The 20,244-nt window shown below is 41.8% G+C and overlaps 1 protein-coding gene across 18 annotated transcripts in view; it reads left to right on the top strand.

The window, feature by feature from the left end:
• DEPDC4 (DEP domain containing 4) overlaps positions 1 to 13,135 on the top strand; it is a 50,338-nt gene extending 37,203 nt beyond the window's left edge. For 6 of the 18 annotated variants that reach the window (XM_017018783.2, NM_001387210.1, XM_047428275.1 and 3 more), the window contains one exon: positions 6,653 to 6,972. In XM_017018783.2, the coding sequence (XP_016874272.1) occupies positions 6,653 to 6,753 (101 nt within the window). In that variant the 3' untranslated portion in view covers positions 6,754 to 6,972. Of the gene's footprint in view, positions 1 to 2,200; positions 2,285 to 2,924; positions 4,709 to 6,652; positions 6,973 to 12,832 lie in introns of those variants that run through there. The other 12 variants (NM_001387211.1, NM_001387209.1, NM_001364818.2 and 9 more) reach the window with 6 other exon arrangements.
• The last annotated feature ends 7,109 nt before the right edge of the window (positions 13,136 to 20,244 follow it).

The raw sequence follows: 20,244 nt of genomic DNA, 5'->3' as shown, positions 1-20,244 counted from the left end.
AATATCTGGGTTGGGTGCAGCGGCTCACACCTGCAATCCCAGCACTTTGGGAGGCTGAGGCAGGAGGATTGCTTGAGCCCAGGAGTTCAAGAGCAGCCTAGGCAACATAGTGAGAACCCATCCCTACAAAAATAGAAATAAAAAACTAGCCAGGCAAAATATAAAAAATTATTCAGCAGGATGAGGCAGGAGGATCGCTGCAGGAGGTCCAGGCTGCAATGAGCCATGATCAACGCCACTGCACTACAGCTGGGGTGACAGAGCAAGACCCTGTCTCAAACATAAAATAGGCCGGATGCTGTGGCTCATGACTGTAATCCCAGCACTTTGGGAGGCCGAGGCGGGTGGATCACAAGGTCAGGAGATTGATACCGTCCTGGCTAACACAGTGAAACCCTGTCTCTACTAAAAATACAAAAAAATTAGCCTGGCCTGGTGGCGGGTGCCTGTAGTCCCAGCCACTCGGGGGGCTGAGGCAGGAGACTGGCGTGAACCTAGGAGGCAGAGCTTGCAGTGAGCCGAGATCGCGCCACTGCATTCCAGCCTGGGCGACAGAGAGAGACTCTGTCTCAAAACAAACAAACAAACAAACCAAAAAACCATAAAATAAAATTGTATTTTATTGTATTTTGTGTATATATATATATATATATATATATATATATATATATATACACAGAGAGAGAGAGAGAGAGAGAGGGAGACACCTCTGCCTGTGCTAAGTAAAGGTTCAAGGATAAAACTTTGACATCAATAGTCAAGGGGTGAGTAAAGAGGAACCTATGAATGAGAGAAAAATATGTTAGGAAGGCAATGAGAAGAAGTCATGCCATGAAGCCAAAGAAATATAACATTTTAGGATGGAGGGTTCCATGTATTGGAAGATCAGAACGGCCACTGGATATGTGGAGCCAATTAGAGCTATCTTAATCACTTGAGAGGCAAAATCCAGGTTGCAGTGGGAAGAGAAGGATAGAATGGGTAGAGAAATGAAGACTGGATGTATGATGAGAAGGGGAAGAGAGGAACTGGGCAATAACCAGAGCAGTGCAAGGTCAAGGGAGAGATTTTAGCATACTGATCTGCTGAGAGGAAGGCATCAGAAGAAAGGGGGTATTGAAAAAAAAGAGATGCTGGTGGAGGCAGGCCCTGGAGGAGGCAGGAGGTAATTAGTTTGAGGGCATAGGATCAAGGGTTTTCCTGGAACAGGAGGAAGGATTTTAGAGTAAAGGTGAGCGTATATGGATGTAAATAAATGTGTAGTGCCAAGGGTAGGAAGTTGGGGGATACTATTAAGTGATGAATCCATTTTCCTCGATAAAGTAGGAGGAGACCATATTGTCTGAGGGTTTACAAGGGGAGCACTGAATGGATGACATGAGAAGAAGGGAATAGTTTGAAATAGATGGTTAGGGGAGTTGAGAAAGTTTAAGTACAGGGATTGATGCATAATTCTGAGCACCACATAAAGCAGGAGATTCTAAATTTTAGTGGTACCGATTAGACGGTATTTTTTTTCAACACTTACAGTACCCCCCCTTTTATCTGTGGTTTCACGTTCCACAGTTAGAAAATAGGTGAGTATGGTACAATAAGATATTTTAAGAAAGAGAGACCACATTCACATAACTTTTACTCTAATATATTGTTATAATTGCTCTATTTTATTATTGGTTATTGCTGTTAATCTCTTATGATGCCTAATTAATAAATTAAACTTTAATATAGGTATGTATATATAGGAAAAAACATAGTACATATAGGATTTGGTACCACCTGCAGTTGGATGCACCCACTGGGGAATGTAGCCTCTGGGAATAAGGGTGAATTACTGTATTTCCTTGAATGTTGGAGTGGACACAGTAGATTAGAGCATTGATTAAGAGCTGGGATTTTGCTTTGTCGCATGTTGCAGAAGGATAGGTGTGCAAGAGAATTAAGGACACATATTGATGAAGCAGTGGCTCAAGTGTTCAGATATGTGATGGACTCAGGATGGGAAAGAAGAAATGCTAGAAGTATGCTAAAACTGGCACATCAAGGTTTCATGTTCTGAGACTGAAGAAAGTTGACAGAGAGCCAAAGGCAGCATAGCATAGTGTTGAAGACACCAAGCCCCAGTAATGGACAACCCTGGGTTCAGATCCTAACTCAGCTACTTTCTAGCCATGTGGTCAAGCTTTATTTCTTTATCTTTAAGGTATGGCTGAAAATAACAGCTACACATCTACAGCTTAGGATACTGGAGATTTAATGAGAAAAAGTACCAAAAGGTTGACACATGGTAAGCATTCATTGTAAGATATTATTATTATTTGAAAAATGTAGATTCCGAGTAGAGAGTTGAGTATAGGAGCGTAAGTTTTCAGAGGCAGTGTAATTCCAGGCTATTTCCATAGGTGTATCCTATTATAGTGAAGATAGGCAAAAAAAAAAAAAAAAAAAGCCCTCATAGTAATGGTCTTCAGGGTTTCAGACATTAACTCTGAGAACTGCTTTGGTGAGTGTGGAGGCTATGGTGGCTTCCTCTGTAAATCAGCATAGGTTGACTGTACATGCTAAGACAGCTCACAGAGCAGTGTGAAAAAGCAGTGCTATAGAATTCAGACATTCTTTGTTCATGTTTTGAACATGCCTTTAACTTATTGGCCATGTCACTTAAATTTTTTATGTATTTCTCTTGAAACTGGGATACTAGTTTCTTGCTTCTAGTTATTTTAGAGATCAAATAATGTATGTAAAATAAAATCATGTATGTTTTGCTAAAGTAAAAGCACTTTTGAAAGAAACTGTGGAACAAAGAAAGCCTAGGCATAGGTAACATACCGTAAGACCAGTTTGGATAAGTACAGTTTAGTTGGTTTTTTAACTTGCTTTTCCAGTGGTACTTTTCTTTTTCTTTTGTTTTTTTTTTTTTTTTCCAGGCTTTACGTTTTGCCAACCCTTGACATACAAGGAGTTTGAAAAGCAGAAGGGAAGGACAATTCAGTATCTACACCAGTTGGCTCTTGAGATTAATAGTAACCCCAGCATCTCTCTGAAACGAAAAAAGAAATTAATTAAGGAATTTCAAAAACACCATCCAGAAGCTTTGAATTAACATTTCTGATACAAGAAACTACAATTTGTAAATATAAACAATTCTCTGGTGGTTTTCTCAAATTGCCATACTTACACTTCAGAGAAAGCATAATCTCAAAGGATTTTAAGTGTTTTATTTTTTATTTTTATTTTGTAGAGACAGGGGTCCTATTATGTTGCCCAGGCTGGTCTCGAACTCCTGGCCTCAAGTCATCCTCCTGCCTTGGCCTCTTAAAGTGCTGGGATTATAGGCATGAGTCACTGTACTTGGCCATTATTTTATTTTTATAAAATATTACTTTTAATTTAATCATGCTTAAAATATGTTAAGGAAGTTTTTAACTTTAAGAAGGAATACAAGTTAGCCTTCATGTTTGCTGATTCACTTAATTATGCTGCTAAAATCACTTAATAAATGTGCTGCTATTATTAGGGATCTAGTACAGTTAATTTCCTTTTTTTTCCACAGGAAAGGAGCTTTTCATACACAAGCTCTCTGAAGAAAGCATGCATTTTCCTTAGTATATGATTATTTTCAAGCAACCCCCTTAACCTGCTGTAACTTAAATAACTGTGAATCATTGAAATAGGGAAAGATGCATAAAGTAGTTGTTTTGTTTTGTTTTGTTTTGTTTTTGAAATGGAGTCTTGCTCTGTCCCAGGCTGGAGTGCAGTGGCACCATCTCACCTCACTGCAACCTCTGCCTCCTGGGTTCAAGCAATTCTCCCTGCCTCAGCCTCCCGAGTAGCTGGGATTATAGGTACCTGCCACTATGCCCGGCTAATTTTTGTAGTTTTAGTAGAGACAGTGTTTCGCCATGTTGGCCAGGCTAGTCTTGAACTCCTGACCTCAGGTGATCTGCCCACCTTAGCCTCCCAAGGTGCTGGGATTACAGGCGTGAGCCACCACACCCGGCCACATGAAGTAGATTTAAAAGGCCACAAATTAAAAATTCGTAAACATCAAAACTGTGATTTCTCTCTCTAATTCTTCTTCAGTCCATATTTTATGGTTATCTTCTTTCCTTCTCATTCTTTCTCTGCTCCTTCCTTTTCTTTCCTCTTTCTCTCTCTCTTTCCAGCTCTTTCACTTTTTTCTTGCCTGCTTCTCTCTCTTTCTTTGTTTTAAATTGGTTAGTTCACTCTATGGCATCATTCCCTAATGTAGCAGAGGTTACAGATTCAATACCTATGGGAAGTTTTACACAGAAAAATTCTTATGGGCCAACCTTGGTGGCCCATGCCTGTAGTCCCGGCACTTTTGGGAGGCCAGGGAGAGGGGATTGCTTTAAGTCCAGGAGTTCAAGACCAGCCTGAGTAATAGTGAGACCCTGCCCCTATCTCTACAAAAACTACAAAAAAAAAATTTAGCCAGGTGTGGCAGCCCACACCTATAGTCCCAGCTACTCAGGAGGCTGAGGTGGGAGGATCTCTTGAGCCCAGGAGTTTTAGGCTGCAGTGAGCTATGATTGCACCACTGTACTGCAGCCTGGGCAATAAAGGAAGCCTGTCTCAAAAAAAAGAAGGAAAAAAGTATTTTGTGGTCATCTTAATTTATATTGTTGATCACAGGGAAACAGAAGCATAATTAATTAAATTCTTGAAAAAATAAACTATATTAGACAGATGTCATCAGTTTTATCTTTTTGTATAAAACCTTTATCAGTCATCTTGAATTAGAATGCTTAGTTTCAAAGTTCTCAACTAAGAAGTCAGACATGGTGGCATGTAGCTGTAGTCCCAACTATTTGAGAGGCTGAAGCAGGAGGATCCCTTGAGCCCAGGAGGTTTAGTTTGTTTGTTTGTTTTTGTAGAGATGGAGTCTCACTATATTGCCCAGGCTGGTCTCAAACTCCTGGCCTCAAGCAATCCTCCTGCCTCTGCCTCCCAAAGTGCTGGAATTACAGTTGTGAGCCACTGTGCCTGGCTGACCACAGGAGTTAGAGGCCAGCCTGGGCAACACAGCAAGACCCTGTCTTGCGGGGAAAAAAAATTCTCAGCTAAGGCTTGGCCTGGTGGCTCACACCTATAATCCCAGCACATTGGGATGCCAATGCAGGAGAATTGCTTGAGACTGGGAGTTCAAGGCCAGCCTGGGCAATATAGTTTGACCCTGTCTCTACAAAAATAAAAATAAAAATTTTAATTGCTGGGCAGAGTGTGGTGTACCCTGTAGTTCTGACTACTCAGGAGACTGAAGTGGGAGGATCACGTGAGCCAAGGAGTTCAAGGTTTCAATGAGCCATGAGTGTACCACTGCACTCCAGCCTGGGCAATAGAGTGAAACGCTGTCTCAAAAAAAAAAAAATTATTGGCCAGGTGTGGTGGCTCACATCTGTAATCCCAGCACTTTGAGAGGCCAAGACAGGTGGATAACCTGAGGTCAGGAGTTTGAGACCAGCCTGTCCAACATGGTGAAACCCCATCTCTACCAAAAATACAAAAATTAGCGTGTGTGGTGGTGGGCACCTGTAATCCCAGCTACTTGAGAGGCTGAGGCAGGAGAATTGCTTGAACCCAGGAGGTGGAGGTTGCAGTGAGCTGAGATCACACCGCTGCACTCCAGCCTCAGCAATAGGGAGAGACTCTGTCTCAAAAAAACTAACAAACAAAAATTCTCAACTAAGAGTCTGTGAAAAGGTTTCAAAGGGCCAAAGTACAATACACTTTCTGAAACTGTAGGCAGTTTTTTGTGTATCTGTGCTTATGGCATCTTTCTAGGAAGACAATCCATGGCTGTCAGCAAATTTTCACGAGGGCTGTGGCGCAAGCACAGTAAGAACCACTGGGTTCAAGAATCTAAAAGTCTTTATTGATGTATATTTATATATTTCCTAAATTTTGCTTTTACCTTATGGATAAACTATTAAATATCCCAATGTTATATTAACATAAGAGCATTGGCTGGATGTGGTGGCTCATGCCTATAATCCCAGCACTTTGGGAGGCTGAAGTGGGTAGATGCCTTGAGCCCACGAGTTCCAAGACCAGCCTGCACAACATGGCAAAACCCCATCTCTAGTAAAAATGCAAAAATTAGCCAGGTACAGTGGTGGGTGCCTATAGTCCCAGCTGCTCAGGAGGCTAAGGTAGGAGGATCACTTGAGCCCAGGAGCAGAGGTTGCAGTGAGCTGAGATTATGCCACTGCACACCAGCCTGGGCAAAAAAAAAAAAAAAAAGCACTAAGCTAGATGACTTTTAAGTTCTTCCTACTTAAAAAAAAAGAAAGGCTGGGTGTGGTGGCTCACACCTGTAATCCCAGCACTTTGGTAGGCCAAGGCAGGCAGATGACCTGAGATCAGGAGTTCGAGACCAGCCTGGCCAACATGGTGAAACCCCGTCTCTACTAAAAATACAAAAAATTAGCCGGGAGTGTTGGTGCATGCCATCTACTTGGGAGGCTGAGGCAGGAGAATTGCTTGAACCCGGGAGGCAGATGTTGCCGAGATGGTGCCATCGCACTCCAGCCTGGGTGATGGAGCGAGACTCTGTCAAAAAAAAAAAAAGCAACCCAATTATATGACACTGGAAGATAAAACTGCCCTAATCTGCATATTTTTTTTTTTTAAGTTGGGGAGGAAGTTAGTATACTTCCAGTGGAAGACCTGAGAGGGTACCTGAAGAGATACCGGGAAAATATTGGAAACATGCCACCAAGCCCTCTTCGATAGAAGTCTCCTTATTTGGAAAGTTGCCATTTTAATGTTCAGTGTGAATCAGGTAGGGATTTGCTAGTCATCACTATGAATGGTGGATACTTTGACAAATGCTTTAAGGATATTACCATGTTGTTGCGTCTGCTGTTCAGAAAATTATAACCTTAGACAAATATCTTTGCACTGAGCCTCAGTTTTTTAAAAATCTCTAAAATAAAAATACACATGCACAGATTTGTATTTTTAAGATCGAGCTATTCCTTTAATAGTTTAAGGTTGAAACAAAGAAATAAAAAATGAAATAAATTAAAAAAAATTTTTTAAGATTGGGCCAGATAATACCAAAGGTACCTTCCAACTCTTCGATGGATAACAGTCATCTGTCCATCTGTAAATAGTGGGTTCGTGAGGGAGAATCTGTGATGTGGTAACAGGAATATGGGCTCTGAAGTCTACAATTCAATGCAATTTCCATTAAAATACTACCATCATTCTTTACAGAACTAGAAAAAATAAAAATCCTAGGCTAGGTGCAGTGGCTCACACCTGTAATCCCAGCACTTTGGGAGGCCAAGGTGGGTGGATCACCTGAGGTCAGGAGTTCGAGTCCAGCCTGGCCAACATGGTGAAAACCCATCTCTACTAAAAATACAAAAATTAGCTGGGTGTGGTGGCACACGCCTGTAGTCCCAGCTACTTGGGAGGCTGAGGCAGGAGAATCACTTGAACTTGGGAGGTGGAGGTTGCGGTGAGCCGAGATCACGCCACTGCACTCCAGCCTGGCTGGCAACAGAACGAGACTCTGTTTCAAAAAAAAAAAAAAAGAAAAAGAAAATCCTAAAATTCATATGGAAAGAAAAAAGAGCCTGCATAGCCAAAGCAAGACTAAGCAAAAAGAACAAATCTGGAGGCATCACAGTACCTGATTTTAAACTATACTATAAGGCCATAGTCACCAAAACAGCATGGTACTAGTATAAAAATAGGCACATAGACCAATGGAACAGAATAGAGAACCCAGAAATAAACCCAAATACGTATAGCCAACTGATCTTCGACAAAGCAAACAAAAACAGAAAGTGGGGAAAGGACACCCTCTTCAACAAATGGTGCTAGGATAATTGGCAAGCCACATGTAGGAGAATGAAACTGGATTCCTCATCTCTCACCTTATACAAAAATCAACTCAAGATGGATCAAGGACTTAAATCTAAGAACTGAAACTTTGAAAATTCTAGAAGATAACATGGGAAAAACTCTTCTAGACATTGGCTTATGCAAAGATTTCATGACCAAGAACCCAAAAGCAAATACAATAAAAACAAAGATAAATAGGTGGGACTTAATTAAACAAAAGCGCTTTTGCACAGCAAAAGGAACAGTCTGCACAGTAAACAGAGAACCCATAGAGTGGGAGAAAATCTTTATACATCTGACAAAGTGCTAATATCCAGAATCTACAAGGAACTCAAACAAATCAGTAAGAAAAAAACAATCCCATCAAAAAGTGGGCTAAGGACATGAATAGAAAATTCTCAAAAGAAGATATACAAATGACCAACAAACATATGAAAAAATGCTCAACATCACTAGTAATTAGGGAAATATAAATCAAAACCACAATGCAATACTACCTTACTCCCACAGAATGGTCATAATAGAAAAATAAAAAAAAAATAGATGTTGGCATGGATGTGGTGAACAAGGAACACTTCTACATTACTGGTGGGAATGTAAACTAGTACAGCCACTATGGAAAACGGTGTGGAGATTCCTTAAAGAACTAAAAGTAGAACTATCATTTGATTTAGCAATCCCACTACTGGGTATCTACCCAGAGGAAAAGAAGTCATTATACCAAAAAGATACTTGCTCACACATGTTTATAGCACCACAATTCACAATTGCAAAAATACGGAACCAGCCCAAATGCCCATCAATCAACAAGTGGATAAACAAAGTGTGGTATATGCATACAATGGAATACTATGCAGCCATAAAAAGGAATGAATTAAGGGCATTCGCAGCAACCTGGATGGGATTGGAGACCATTATTCTATGTGAAGTAACTGAGGAATGGGAAACCAAACATCGTATGTTCTCCTTCATAAGTGGGAGCTAAGCTATGAGAATGCAAAGGCCTAAGAGTGATACAGTGGGCCAGGCATGGTGGCTCATGCCTGTAATCCCAACACTCTGGGAAGCTGAGGCAGGTGGATCACCTAAGGTCAGGAGTTCAAGACCAGCCTAGCCAACATGGTGAAACCCGTCTCTACTAAAAATACAAAAATTAGCCAGGCGCAGTGGCGGGCACCTGTAATCCCAGCTACTTGGGAGGCTGAGATAGGACAATTGCCTGAACACAGGAGATGGAGGCTGTAGTGAGCCGGGATCATGCCACTGCACTCCGGCCTGGGTGACAGAGCAAGACTCCATCTTGGGGGAAAAAAAAAAAAGAATGATACAGTGGAGTTTGGGGACTTGGGGGTGAAAGGGTGGGAAAGGGGTAAGGGATAAAAGGCTACAAATTGGGTTCAGTGTATACTGCTGGGGGGATGGGTGCCCCAAAATCTCACAAATCACCACTAAAAAGCTTATTCATGTAACCAAATACCACCTGTTCCCCAAAAACCTATGGAAATGAAGAATTTTTAAAAAGAGAATAAAAAAAAAAAAAAAACCTTAAAAGAAAAAAAGAATATGGGCTCTGGAATCATAGACCTGGATTTACGATTTGACCTGTTTGGGTTAAAAGGGAAAATACTATCAGATGAGTATTCTAGATTAGGATAAAATATAGTTTAGAAATAGAATTACCAGAAGTCAGAGTTGTTAAGCATACTTTAAATATCTTATTTTGTTATCATTTAAATTGAGTATTTCCTACAACATTCTCTAATGGAGCTTATTTTTATCAACGTGTACATATATATGTATATGTATGTGTATATACATATATATATATACACACACATACATCCATACTACTACTCAATGAAACTTGTAAACAGTGAAACGTTTGTAAACAATGAAACTTGTTTACAAAGAAACTGACTTCTACTGAATAGTTTTTGAAGGTTCTGAGGCATTAATTTCCAAAGGGAAATTTCTAACCAAGCATTGCCATGCCACCTAGTGACAGCTTCATAAAGCACAGTTATTAGGCTTAAAAAGAATTAAGTTCCCAAGGGTATCATCATTCAATGTTAGGCTAAACAGTTTGGAGGGACTTACGTGTAAAGCATTTTTTTCTCTGTATAAATAAATCCAGCTTCAATTACTGGAAAGCTTTGCTCCTGATAGAATATTCAGTAAATTTCCATGACCATTAACGGTCTGATTCATAACACTTGAGACTGTTTAAACTTCTTAGATTATTCGGTCTCTACGAGATGACAAAGATTGTTTGCTTGACCAAACTTTAGTCAGGCTCCTGAATCTTCTTCTAGTCCCATCTGTGCTCTTCCTTGTAAAATCCCATTTTAGCAAAGAACCCTGCTGTGTCAGTTTAGCAAGAAGCCCCCACCGTCAATATCTGATCATACTCAATATCCAATCAGGTTCCTCATCCTTCATCATTCCCCAAAGGTTATGTGTCATCATCCTGGCCAGTCTTCAGCGAGAATCCTGTTAGGTCAGTTCAGCCAGAATCTCCCTTACCCTTGAGGTTTTTCTCTGAGTAATTTTCCATTCATTGACCCCTGACCTGCTTCTTGGCTATAAATTCCCACCACTTGGCCATGCCGTACCCAGATTTGAGGCTAGTATCTCTCTCTGACTGCAAAATCCCATAGCAGTGGTCCCTGTACCTATTTTGATGGTCCTGAATAAAATCATCTTTTAACAAGTATCATTGAACAATTTTTTTTGTTGACAGGTACTATCCACATAAATAAAAGTTTGGTTTTTTGTTTGTTTGTTTCTGGAGACAGGGTCTAACTCTGTCACTCAGGCTGAAGTGCAGTGGTGTAATCATGGCTCACCACAGCCTCAACCTCCTGGGTTCAAGTGATTCTCCCACCTCAGCCTCCTGAGTAGCTGGGACTACAGGCACATGCCACCAAGCCCAGCTAGCTTTTTTTTAAGAGACAGGGTTTCGCCATGTAGCCCAAGCTCATAAAAGATTTTCTAACTCCAAAAAAAATTTTTTTTTGAGACAAAACGTTTTTCTTCTTATATAACTTTTATACATAAAGAATTCAAGACTGAAATCTGTTATTGAGATCTTTTTCCTGGAAATCTTTCCTTCCGGTACACTCTACAAGTAGATTGCAAGTGCTTCTATTTGCTGATTCCTTGCATGCTAAAAAGATTTTTGGAACACAAAAACCAAAAAAGTTGGGGCTGAAGCCTCATCTCTGATGCTTAGCAACCCTATAACCAATGATGCTACCTAATAATTCATTCATGAGTATAATCATTCAGCTTTTCAGCTATGCCAGGTATGATGTAGGAGACATAAAGTGGATGTCATAGTCCCACCCTTGGAAAAGTAACTCTAATACAAAGAACATAAACATGACATTAACAACGTAGTAATGTATAGAGGTATGAAGACAGAACTCTATACAACTATTTTATTATGGCATCTGAAAGAGAAGCAGTATTTAAAGTTGGTCGTGAAATCTGAATGGGAGTTAGAATTTGTAACAGCATCTCTGGAAGAGGGACGAGAATGTTTAAAGGGACTGGGTTGCCGAGAACATTTTATACATATTTCCATCTTTCAGGGGGCTGTATGCATATGCATACATGAAAATTATATATATGTATGTATATAGGAGTGGCAGCTTGGGTTAGAAAGATGAGGAGTTGAGAGTAAATTTAACTTTGATATGTTTAGGGTGAGATACTTGTGAACATCTAAATTGAAGGTGTGGTAAAGCATAAACTTCAAAATTAGACCCACCTGTGTTTGACTCGCAAGTCCACTACCTAATGTGACCTTGAACAGTTTACTCGTTGTTTTGAACCTAGGTTTTCTCATTTGCAAAATGGAGCTAGTATACAATTGTTGCAGTTAGGATTAAATGATATGTACATACATTGCCTGTCACAGGTTACACTATTTTAATAAGTGCTATCCTCTCACCCGCCAGGCCTGTTTCTTTTTTTGTGTTTGTTTTGTTTTGTTTTGTTTTGTTTTTGAGATGGAGTTTCCCTCTTGTTGCCCAGGCTGGAGTGCAATGGCGCGATCTCGGCTCACCACAACCTCCTGCCTCCCAGGTTCAAGCGATTGTTCTGCCTCAGACTCCCAAGTAGCTGGGATTACAGGCATGCGCCACCACGCCTGGCTAATTTTGTATTTTTAGTAGAGATGGGGTTTCTCCAAGTTGGTCAGGCTGGTCTCAAACTCCCGACCTCAGGTGATCCGCCCACCTTGGCCTCCCAAAGTGCTGGGATTACAGGCGTGAGCCACCGTGCCCAGCCTTAGGCCAGTGTTTCTCAAAGTGGCCCAAGGTCTACCTGCACCAGAATCACCTGGAGTGCTTGTTACACAATGACGCCTTTCCATACCTAATAAATTAATTTACTGAGATGGAGCTTGAAACTCTGAAATTTAACCGTCACATTGGAGTTGTGAGGTATATAAATTATGTTAATTAACCCATATACAAAGATTTTTTTTTTTTTTTGAGACGGAGTCTTGCTCTGTCGCCCAGGCTGGAGTGCAGTGGCGCGAACGTGGCTCACTGCAACCTCCACATCCTGGGTTCAAGCTATTCTCTAGTCTCAGCCTCCCTAGTAGCTGGGATTACAGTTGCGTGCCACCATACCTGGCTAATTTTTGCATTGTTTTTTAGTAGAGACAGGGTTTCACCATGTTGGCCAGGCTGGTCTCAAACTCCTGACCTCAGGTGATCTGCCTGCCTTGGCCTCCCAGAGTGCTGGGATTACAGGCGTGAGCAACTGCACCTGGCAAAGACTTCTAATTACACAACTGTTCACTGACTCAAGTTTCTATTAGCATTTTCCTTTAGGCTAAAAATATGAAACCACTTAACCTTTTGTCAGAAAGAATATGATACTTCGAAAGTTAAAAATGAATATATGAGACATTTTCCTAATAATTCTTTTTTTTTTTCTGAGGCAGGATCTCTCTCTGACACCCATGCTGGAGTGCAGTTGTGTGATCTCAGCTCACTGCAACCTCTGCCTCTCAGGTTCAAGCGACTCTCCCGCCTCAGCCTCCTGAGTAGCTGGTACTACAAGCGTGACCCACCACACCTGCCTAAATTTTGTATTTTTAGTAGCAATAGGGTTTCACCATTTTCCTAATTCTTAAAGTGCAAGTTCAGAGTAAAACTAGGTGCTTTAAAGATGGCTCAAGGATGCTAAATACTAACCATTAAATTAGCAACAAAAAGTTAATAAAACATTAAAATTGACAAAGATATTTTGATAAAGTTATTCCTTTGTTTTATTTGTTGTGTGTTTTATTGTAAGATTGTCACTAGGGGCCAGACATGGTGGCTCACACCTGTAATACCAGCACTTTGGGAGTCTGAGGCAGGCAGATTGCTCGAGCCCAGGAGTTGGAGACCAGCCTGGGCAACATGGCAAAACCCCATCTCTACAAAAAATTTGCCAGGCGTGGTGGTGGACACCTGTAGTCCCATCTACCCAGAAGGCTAAGGTGGGAAGATCACTTGCTGTGAGGAGTGATTGAGCCACTGCACTCTAGCCTGGATGACAGAATGTGACCCTGACACACACACACACACACACACACACACACACACACACACACACACACACACTCTAAAAAAATTTGCCGGGCACAGTGGCTCACACCGGTAATTACAGCACTTTGGGAGGCCAAGGCGGCTGGATCACTTGAGGTCAAGAATTCGAGACCAGCCTGGCCAACATGGTGAATCCCCGACTCTAATAAAAATACAAAAAAATTAGCCAGGTGTGGCGGGCGCCTGTATTCCCGTCTACTGGGGAGGCTAAAGCAGGCAGGTAGGATTGCTTGAACCCAGGAGGCAGAGGTTCCAGTGAGCGGAGATCGCACCACTGCGCTCCACTCTGGGCAACAGAGCGAGACTCATTCTCAAAAAAAAAAAAAGATTGTCACTAGAAACTATTTTAAGTTAGTTTAGGGCTTATACTTCAGAATAAAAGGGGTATAACTAGCAATTCAACTATTTTGAAGGCCGGGTGCCGTGGCTCACACCTGTAATCCCAGCACTTTGGGAGGCCGAGGTGGGCGGATCACCTGAGGTCGGGAGTTCGAGACCAGCCTGACCAACGTGGTGAAACCCCGTCTTGACTAAAAATACAAAAATTAGCCGGGCATGGTGACGCGTGCCTGTGATCTCAGTTACTCAGAAGGCTGAGGCAGGAGAATCACTTGAATCCAGGAGGCGGAGGTTGCAGTGAGCCAAGGTCGTGCCATTGCACTGCAGCCTGGGCAACAAGAGCGAAACTCTATCTCAAAAAAAAATTGAATAAATATATATTTAAATATATATTGAAAATGTGAGTGAACACAATTTGAAAAATGTTTTGTGTTAATAAGATACACAAATTATAAAATTACACAATTCAGTATTTCAATTGCTAACTCTTTAGTGCTTCTATAATTATTCAAATTAATTTTCCTGATTTATTTTTTTCCTACTGTGTTTTTGTTTGTTTTTTAGAGACAAGGTCTTGCTCTGTCACACATGCTGGAGTGCAGTGGTATGATCATAGCTCACTACAGCCTCTAACTCCTGGGCTCAAGTGCTCCTCCTGCCTCTGCCTCCCAAAGTGGTGGGATTACAGGCGTAAACCATCTTGCTGGGCCCCTACTGTTTTCTTGAATGCTTACCCTCCTTTCTTAGATTCATTGTCATCTTACTACAGTACTGTATCCTTAAGCAGTTCTTTCAGAAATTGTCTCAAGAGTGGCACTTTGAGTCCTTGTTTATCCAAAAGTTTCTATTTTGCCCCCAGGCGTTGAATACTGGTTTGACCAGGGACTGCAGCTCCTGTTGCTCAACATTTAGTGTAACTTCCTTATAGTGTGTCTTCCTAAACTTCAGAGAGTAGAAAGCTAAAAACCTCATTTTCCAGCTCCTTTGTAGCCAGTGTTCTGAGTATGATTTACATAAAACTGTTTTTTTTTTAAAATTATTACTATTTTTTGAGACGGAGTTTCTCTCGTCGCCCAGGCTGGAGTGCAATGGTGCAATCTTAGCTCACTGCCTCTGCTGGGATTACAAGCATGCACCACCACGCCTGGCTAATTTTTTGTACTTTTAGTAGAGATGGGGTTTTGCTGTGTTAGCCAGGATGGTCTCGATCTCCTGACCTTGTGATCCACCCACTTCGGCCTCCCAAAGTGCTGAGATTACAAGCGTGAGCCACCGCGCCCGGCCAAAAAAAACATTTTTTTTTTAAGAGACGGTATCTCACTCTGTTGCCCAGGCTGGAGTACAGTGGTGCGATCTTAGCTCACTGCCACCTCGAACTTCTGGGCTCAAGCAATCCTCCTGCATCAGCCTCCTGAGAAACTGAGAGTAAGTAGCTCATAAAATTGACTCATGTCCTTAAGACCAGTCTGAGTCCAGTCCTGTATATGCCACTTCCACTTGATGGCAGCACATCCTGCTGAGCACACCTAATCCACAGTGCGGAGGAGAAATTATCTCAGGGAGACATCAGAGCAATATTTCTGGTGGTTCAACTTACATGAAGACATGAGTAGAGATGACAGTTAATGGTTTGACCAAAGGGTCAGAGATTTGACAACTACAAGGTAAGAAACCTAGGCCAGGAACAGTGGCGTAGGCCCATAATCTCAAAACTTTGGGAGGCCAAGGCAGGAGGATTGCTTGAGGCTAGGAGTCCAAGGCCAGCATGGGCAACATAGTGAGATTCCCTGTCTCTAAAAATAAAAATAAAAAAATTAGCCAGCGGTAGTGGTGCAAGCTTTTAGTCCCAGCTACTCTGGAGGCTGAGGTGAGAAGACCACTTGAGCCCAGGAGTTCCAGGCTGCAGTGAGCTAGGATCATGCCAGTGCACTCCAGCCTGAGCGACAGAGCAAGACCCCATCTCAAAAAGAAATAAAAATAAATTTTAAAAAAGAAAGAAAAAAAAAGAAACTTGGGAAGCAGAAGCTTTAGGGAAGTATGTGGACAAACTCAGAATAGGCCCCAAATGCAAGGATATTTGTTTCCTGTGTGAAAGCTTATCAAAAGCTTTCTTATCAAAAGCCGTCTTCTGTAGGTAAGGCTCTTAATATTTAGATGGACAGCATAGCATACACTGTGGACATTGATTAGCCTCTTTCCCCAGCCATCCAGTGCTAGCTCAGTTATGCTACATTCTGGGAAAATTCCCTCAGCTTCTTTCTAACTCAGATTTTCAGTCTTTTTTCTTTTCTCGTTTTCTTTCTTTCTTTTCTTTTTTTTTTTTTTTTTTTTTTTTTTTTTCAGAGTCTCTGTCACCCAGGCTGGAGTGCAGTGGTGTGATCCTGGCTTACTGCAACTTCCACCTCCTGGGTTCAAGCAATTCTCGTGCCTCAGCCTCCCGAGTAGCTGGGACTACAGGCATGCACTGCCCTGCCCAGCTAATTTTCGTATTTTTAGTATGGACGGGGTTTTACCATGTTGCCCAGGCTGGTCTTGAACTCCCAGGCTCAAGCCATCCACCTGTGTCAGTCTCCCAAAGTGCTGGGATTACATGGGTGAGCCACTGCACCTGGCCCAGATTTTCAGCACAGTACTAGTGTCCATTCTGCTGTTCAATCCATCTATTAAGCAAAAGTTTGTCTTTTTATTTTTAGTTTTAGTTTTTTTTTTTTTTTTTTTTGAGACAGGGTCTCACTCTGTCACCCAGGCTGGAGTGCAGTGGCACAATCTCGGCTCCCTGCCACCTCCGCCTCCTGGGTTGAAGCAATCCTCCTGCCTCAGCCTCCCAAGCAGGGATTACAGGTGTGCACCACCACATTGAGTTGGTTTTTGTATTTTTAGTAGAGAACGGGTTTCACTATGTTGGCCAGGCTGGTCTTGAACTCCTGACCTCAGGTGATCTGCCTGCCTTGGCCTCCCAAATTGCTGGGATTACAGGCGCCCGGCCCAAAAGCTATTTTTAATAACTTATTTTTAATTTCTAAGAACTATTTTTGTTATAGCAACCTGCTCTTTTTACAATAGATACAGTGACCCCATCAGTCCTTTAGAGGATATTAGTTTTTGTTTTTTCCTTTATTTTCTTCCCTTAGGGATTCATTCTTGTTAGATTTGGGGCCTCTCTGGTGATAAGTATCCCTCAAATATTTAATGCTTGGTTGTCTGCTCATTTTTTTTCATTTCTGAATTCCTGTTTACCCATGGGTGAATCCAAGTTTTTTTGTTTTTTTGGTTTTTGTTGTGTGTGTGTGACGGAGTTTCGCTCTTTTTGCCCAGGCTGGAGTGCAATGGCACGATCTCGGCTCACTGCAACCTCCGCCTCTCAAGTTCAAGTGATTCTCCTGCCTCAGCCTCCCAAGTAGCTGGGATTACAGGCACCTGCCACCACACCCGGCTAATTTTTTGTATTTTTAGTAGAGGCGGGGTTTCACCATGTTGGCTAGGCTGGTCTCGAACTCCTGACCTCAGGTGATCCACCCACGTCAGCCTCCCAAAGTGCTGGGATTACAGGTGTGAGCCACCATGCCTGGCCAATCCAAGTTCTAATTTGGTGTTTTGCCTCTGGTTGTTGGTGGGGGGTGAGAGGGAAACAAGAGGGAGATGTGCTGAGTTCCCTAGGGCCCTGCCCTGTCTGAATTCTTTCTAATGAGGTCCAAGCTCTTGGCTTTAATCAGAGTTCAGTGACACAACCCACTGCTCCGTTAAAATTTTTTTCTTACTTTGATGCCCTTAGGGGATATGAAATTATTTCAGGTTCTAGTCTTTCCTTTCCAACCTTTACACTTTAACCCCTTTTACTGCCCAGCCTCAATAACAAGACAGGGAATAGGGCACAGCTGTAGGTTTCAATCTTTTAGTGGCTAACCCATGATCTCCTTCTACTCTTTTTTTTAGACAAGATCTCACTATGTTGCCCAGGCTGAAATATAGTGGCTATTCACAGGTGAAGCTGTAGCACACTGCAGCCTCAAACTCCTAGGCTCAAGCAATTTTCCTACCTCAGCCTCTTGAGTAGCTGGGACTGCTGACACATGCCGCCATGCCCAGCCTTCTCCTACTCTCTGTATTTGTCCTGAGATTAAAATATCTCTGGAATTGTTCTTACCTCTTTGGTAGTTTTCTCCTGCCCTGATTTGGGATATGGGTTTTCTTGTTTCTCTAACAATCTAATCATATTTGTTTTCCATATTTTAGACACTTCTCCACATCAGTAGTACTCTTTTTGTTTACTAGAATTATGGATTTAATCTTACAAAAGATAACAGAATTTTGTCATGCACATAATATGGACTCTAATAAAATGAATACCCAGTGTCCAACATCTAGCTTGAGAAATACTATATCACAAATAGCATTGAAATGCACCCTGTGTATTCCTCCCTCATGTACCTCCCTCCCCCCTGCAGCGGACGTTTAATGTGACTTGGAACAGGTAGAGAAATAGGTGAACATGATCAGTTTGCTATGTTGAGGCAATCATTACTGAATTCAAAAATTCAAAAATGTTTTTCCACAACAATACATATCTTTAAAGTGTCACTCCAGTATTACTATTTAGAGCCAATTTTTTACGACCTATACTGTCTCCAGATAGAGCTAATATTAAAAGTGTTCTTTGAAATCAAACATATTAAAACAACATCTATATTTAGCAATAAAGTTTCAAAATTAGATAGGTGTTGAAATGGATGAAAGCTTTGATCCTAGTGATAACAGATTAGGGTTTATGTTCATTAATGTCAAAAATCAATTTGTAGGGCCAGGCACGGTGGCTCATGCCTGTCATCCCAGCACTTTTGGAGGCCGAGGCGGGTGGATCACGAGGTCAGGAGTTCGAGACCAACCTGGCCAACATGGTGAAACCCCGTCTCTACTAAAAATACAAAAATTAGCTGGGAGTGGCAGCATGCACCTATAGTCCCAGCTACTCAGGAGGCTGAGGCAGGAGAGTTGCTTGAACTCAGGAGGCGGAGGTGGCAGTAAGCCAAGATCCTGCCACCGCACTCCAGCCTGAGCAATGGAGTGATACTCCATCTCAACAAAAACACACACACAAAAACACCAATTTATAGTGGCTCCAAAATGAGCACTATGAGACCTAATTTATATAGAAATTAGTTTACTGTAATAAGCATGTGAAAACACACATACACACTATTCTCAGAAGAATGTAAACATCAGGCTGGGGCATGTTTGGGACAAAGGCAGCTTTGAGGAATGACCCATTTTCTCAAAGGAAAAACACCTGGTTGGCATTCTGCCATCCAGGATGAGGTCCAGACAGGTAATGGACTTTAAATGAGGACTTACCTTTTTACCTCCATTGACATCACCTTGAACTTCTAGCACAGTTATATTGTTTGGTTGCAAGAATTTCTTTTGTACCACCAGCATCTTCTTGCTGCACTGTCCACAGATTATATGCCAGTAACCGGGTATCACACAAACATGGTCACTTTGCAACTCTGCAATGATAACCAGTCTAGGCCTAGGAAGGAATGACCAGGCCCTAAAGCAATATAATCTATGACTGTAAGTGGACAGCTTTCACCCTGACCAGCATTCATCTTTTCACTTGAGTTTTCCTTGAGAGACTCTTTGACTCTAGGCCATCATAGCAGGATTGTCAATCAAAGTCCCTAGAGCCATAGGGTAGGAACATAATCCTAGTTAGGGGAAAACACTGCTAGAAATTTGATTCATGAGCACAATGACATAAGATAGAAAATACAGGAGCTGAGATATTTTGATGGCAGGGCTCTAGGACTGTCCCTGTTTCTGTAACTTAAGATTTCTAAAATTACTCTGGTTTTTATCTTTCTTAAGGCTGTGGACCCAGCTTTTCTTAGACTTTATAAGCTATCCTTTGTCCTGGATAAATTTTGTTCTGCTGAAGATATAGCCCAAATGAGTTTCTACTGCTTGCAATCAGAAAAGCGTACCTGATCCATTCATTGATGTCACTGTCAGCTGTTCCCTGAAATTGGAAAGCTGGAATCTAACACTTTAATGTTTATTATGGATCACTGTTTTGTTTTAAAAACAAAATGCTAACATTTGTATCAAGAGTGCTTGAACAGGCCAGGCGCGGTGGCTCATGCCTGTAATCCCAACATTTTGGGAGGCCAAGGCGGGCAGATCACTTGAGCTCAGGAGTTCAACACCAGGCTGGCCAACAAGGTGAAACCCTGTCTCTACTAAAAATACAAAAATTAGCCAGGTGTGGTGGTGGTGGCACACGCCTGTAATCCCAGCTACTCGGGAGGCTGCGGTAGGAGAATCGCTTGAACCTGGGAAGCGGAGGTTGCAGTGAGCCAAGATCACGCCGCTGCACTCCAGCCTGGGTGAGAGAACAAGGCTCCGTCTCAAAAAAAAAAAAAAA

Source organism: Homo sapiens, chromosome 12 (genome assembly GCF_000001405.40).
Source record: "Homo sapiens chromosome 12, GRCh38.p14 Primary Assembly".
Lineage (NCBI taxonomy): Eukaryota > Metazoa > Chordata > Mammalia > Primates > Hominidae > Homo > Homo sapiens.
The sequence above is the reverse complement of the archived record's forward strand: the minus strand, read 5'-3'. Positions and strand labels throughout refer to the sequence as shown.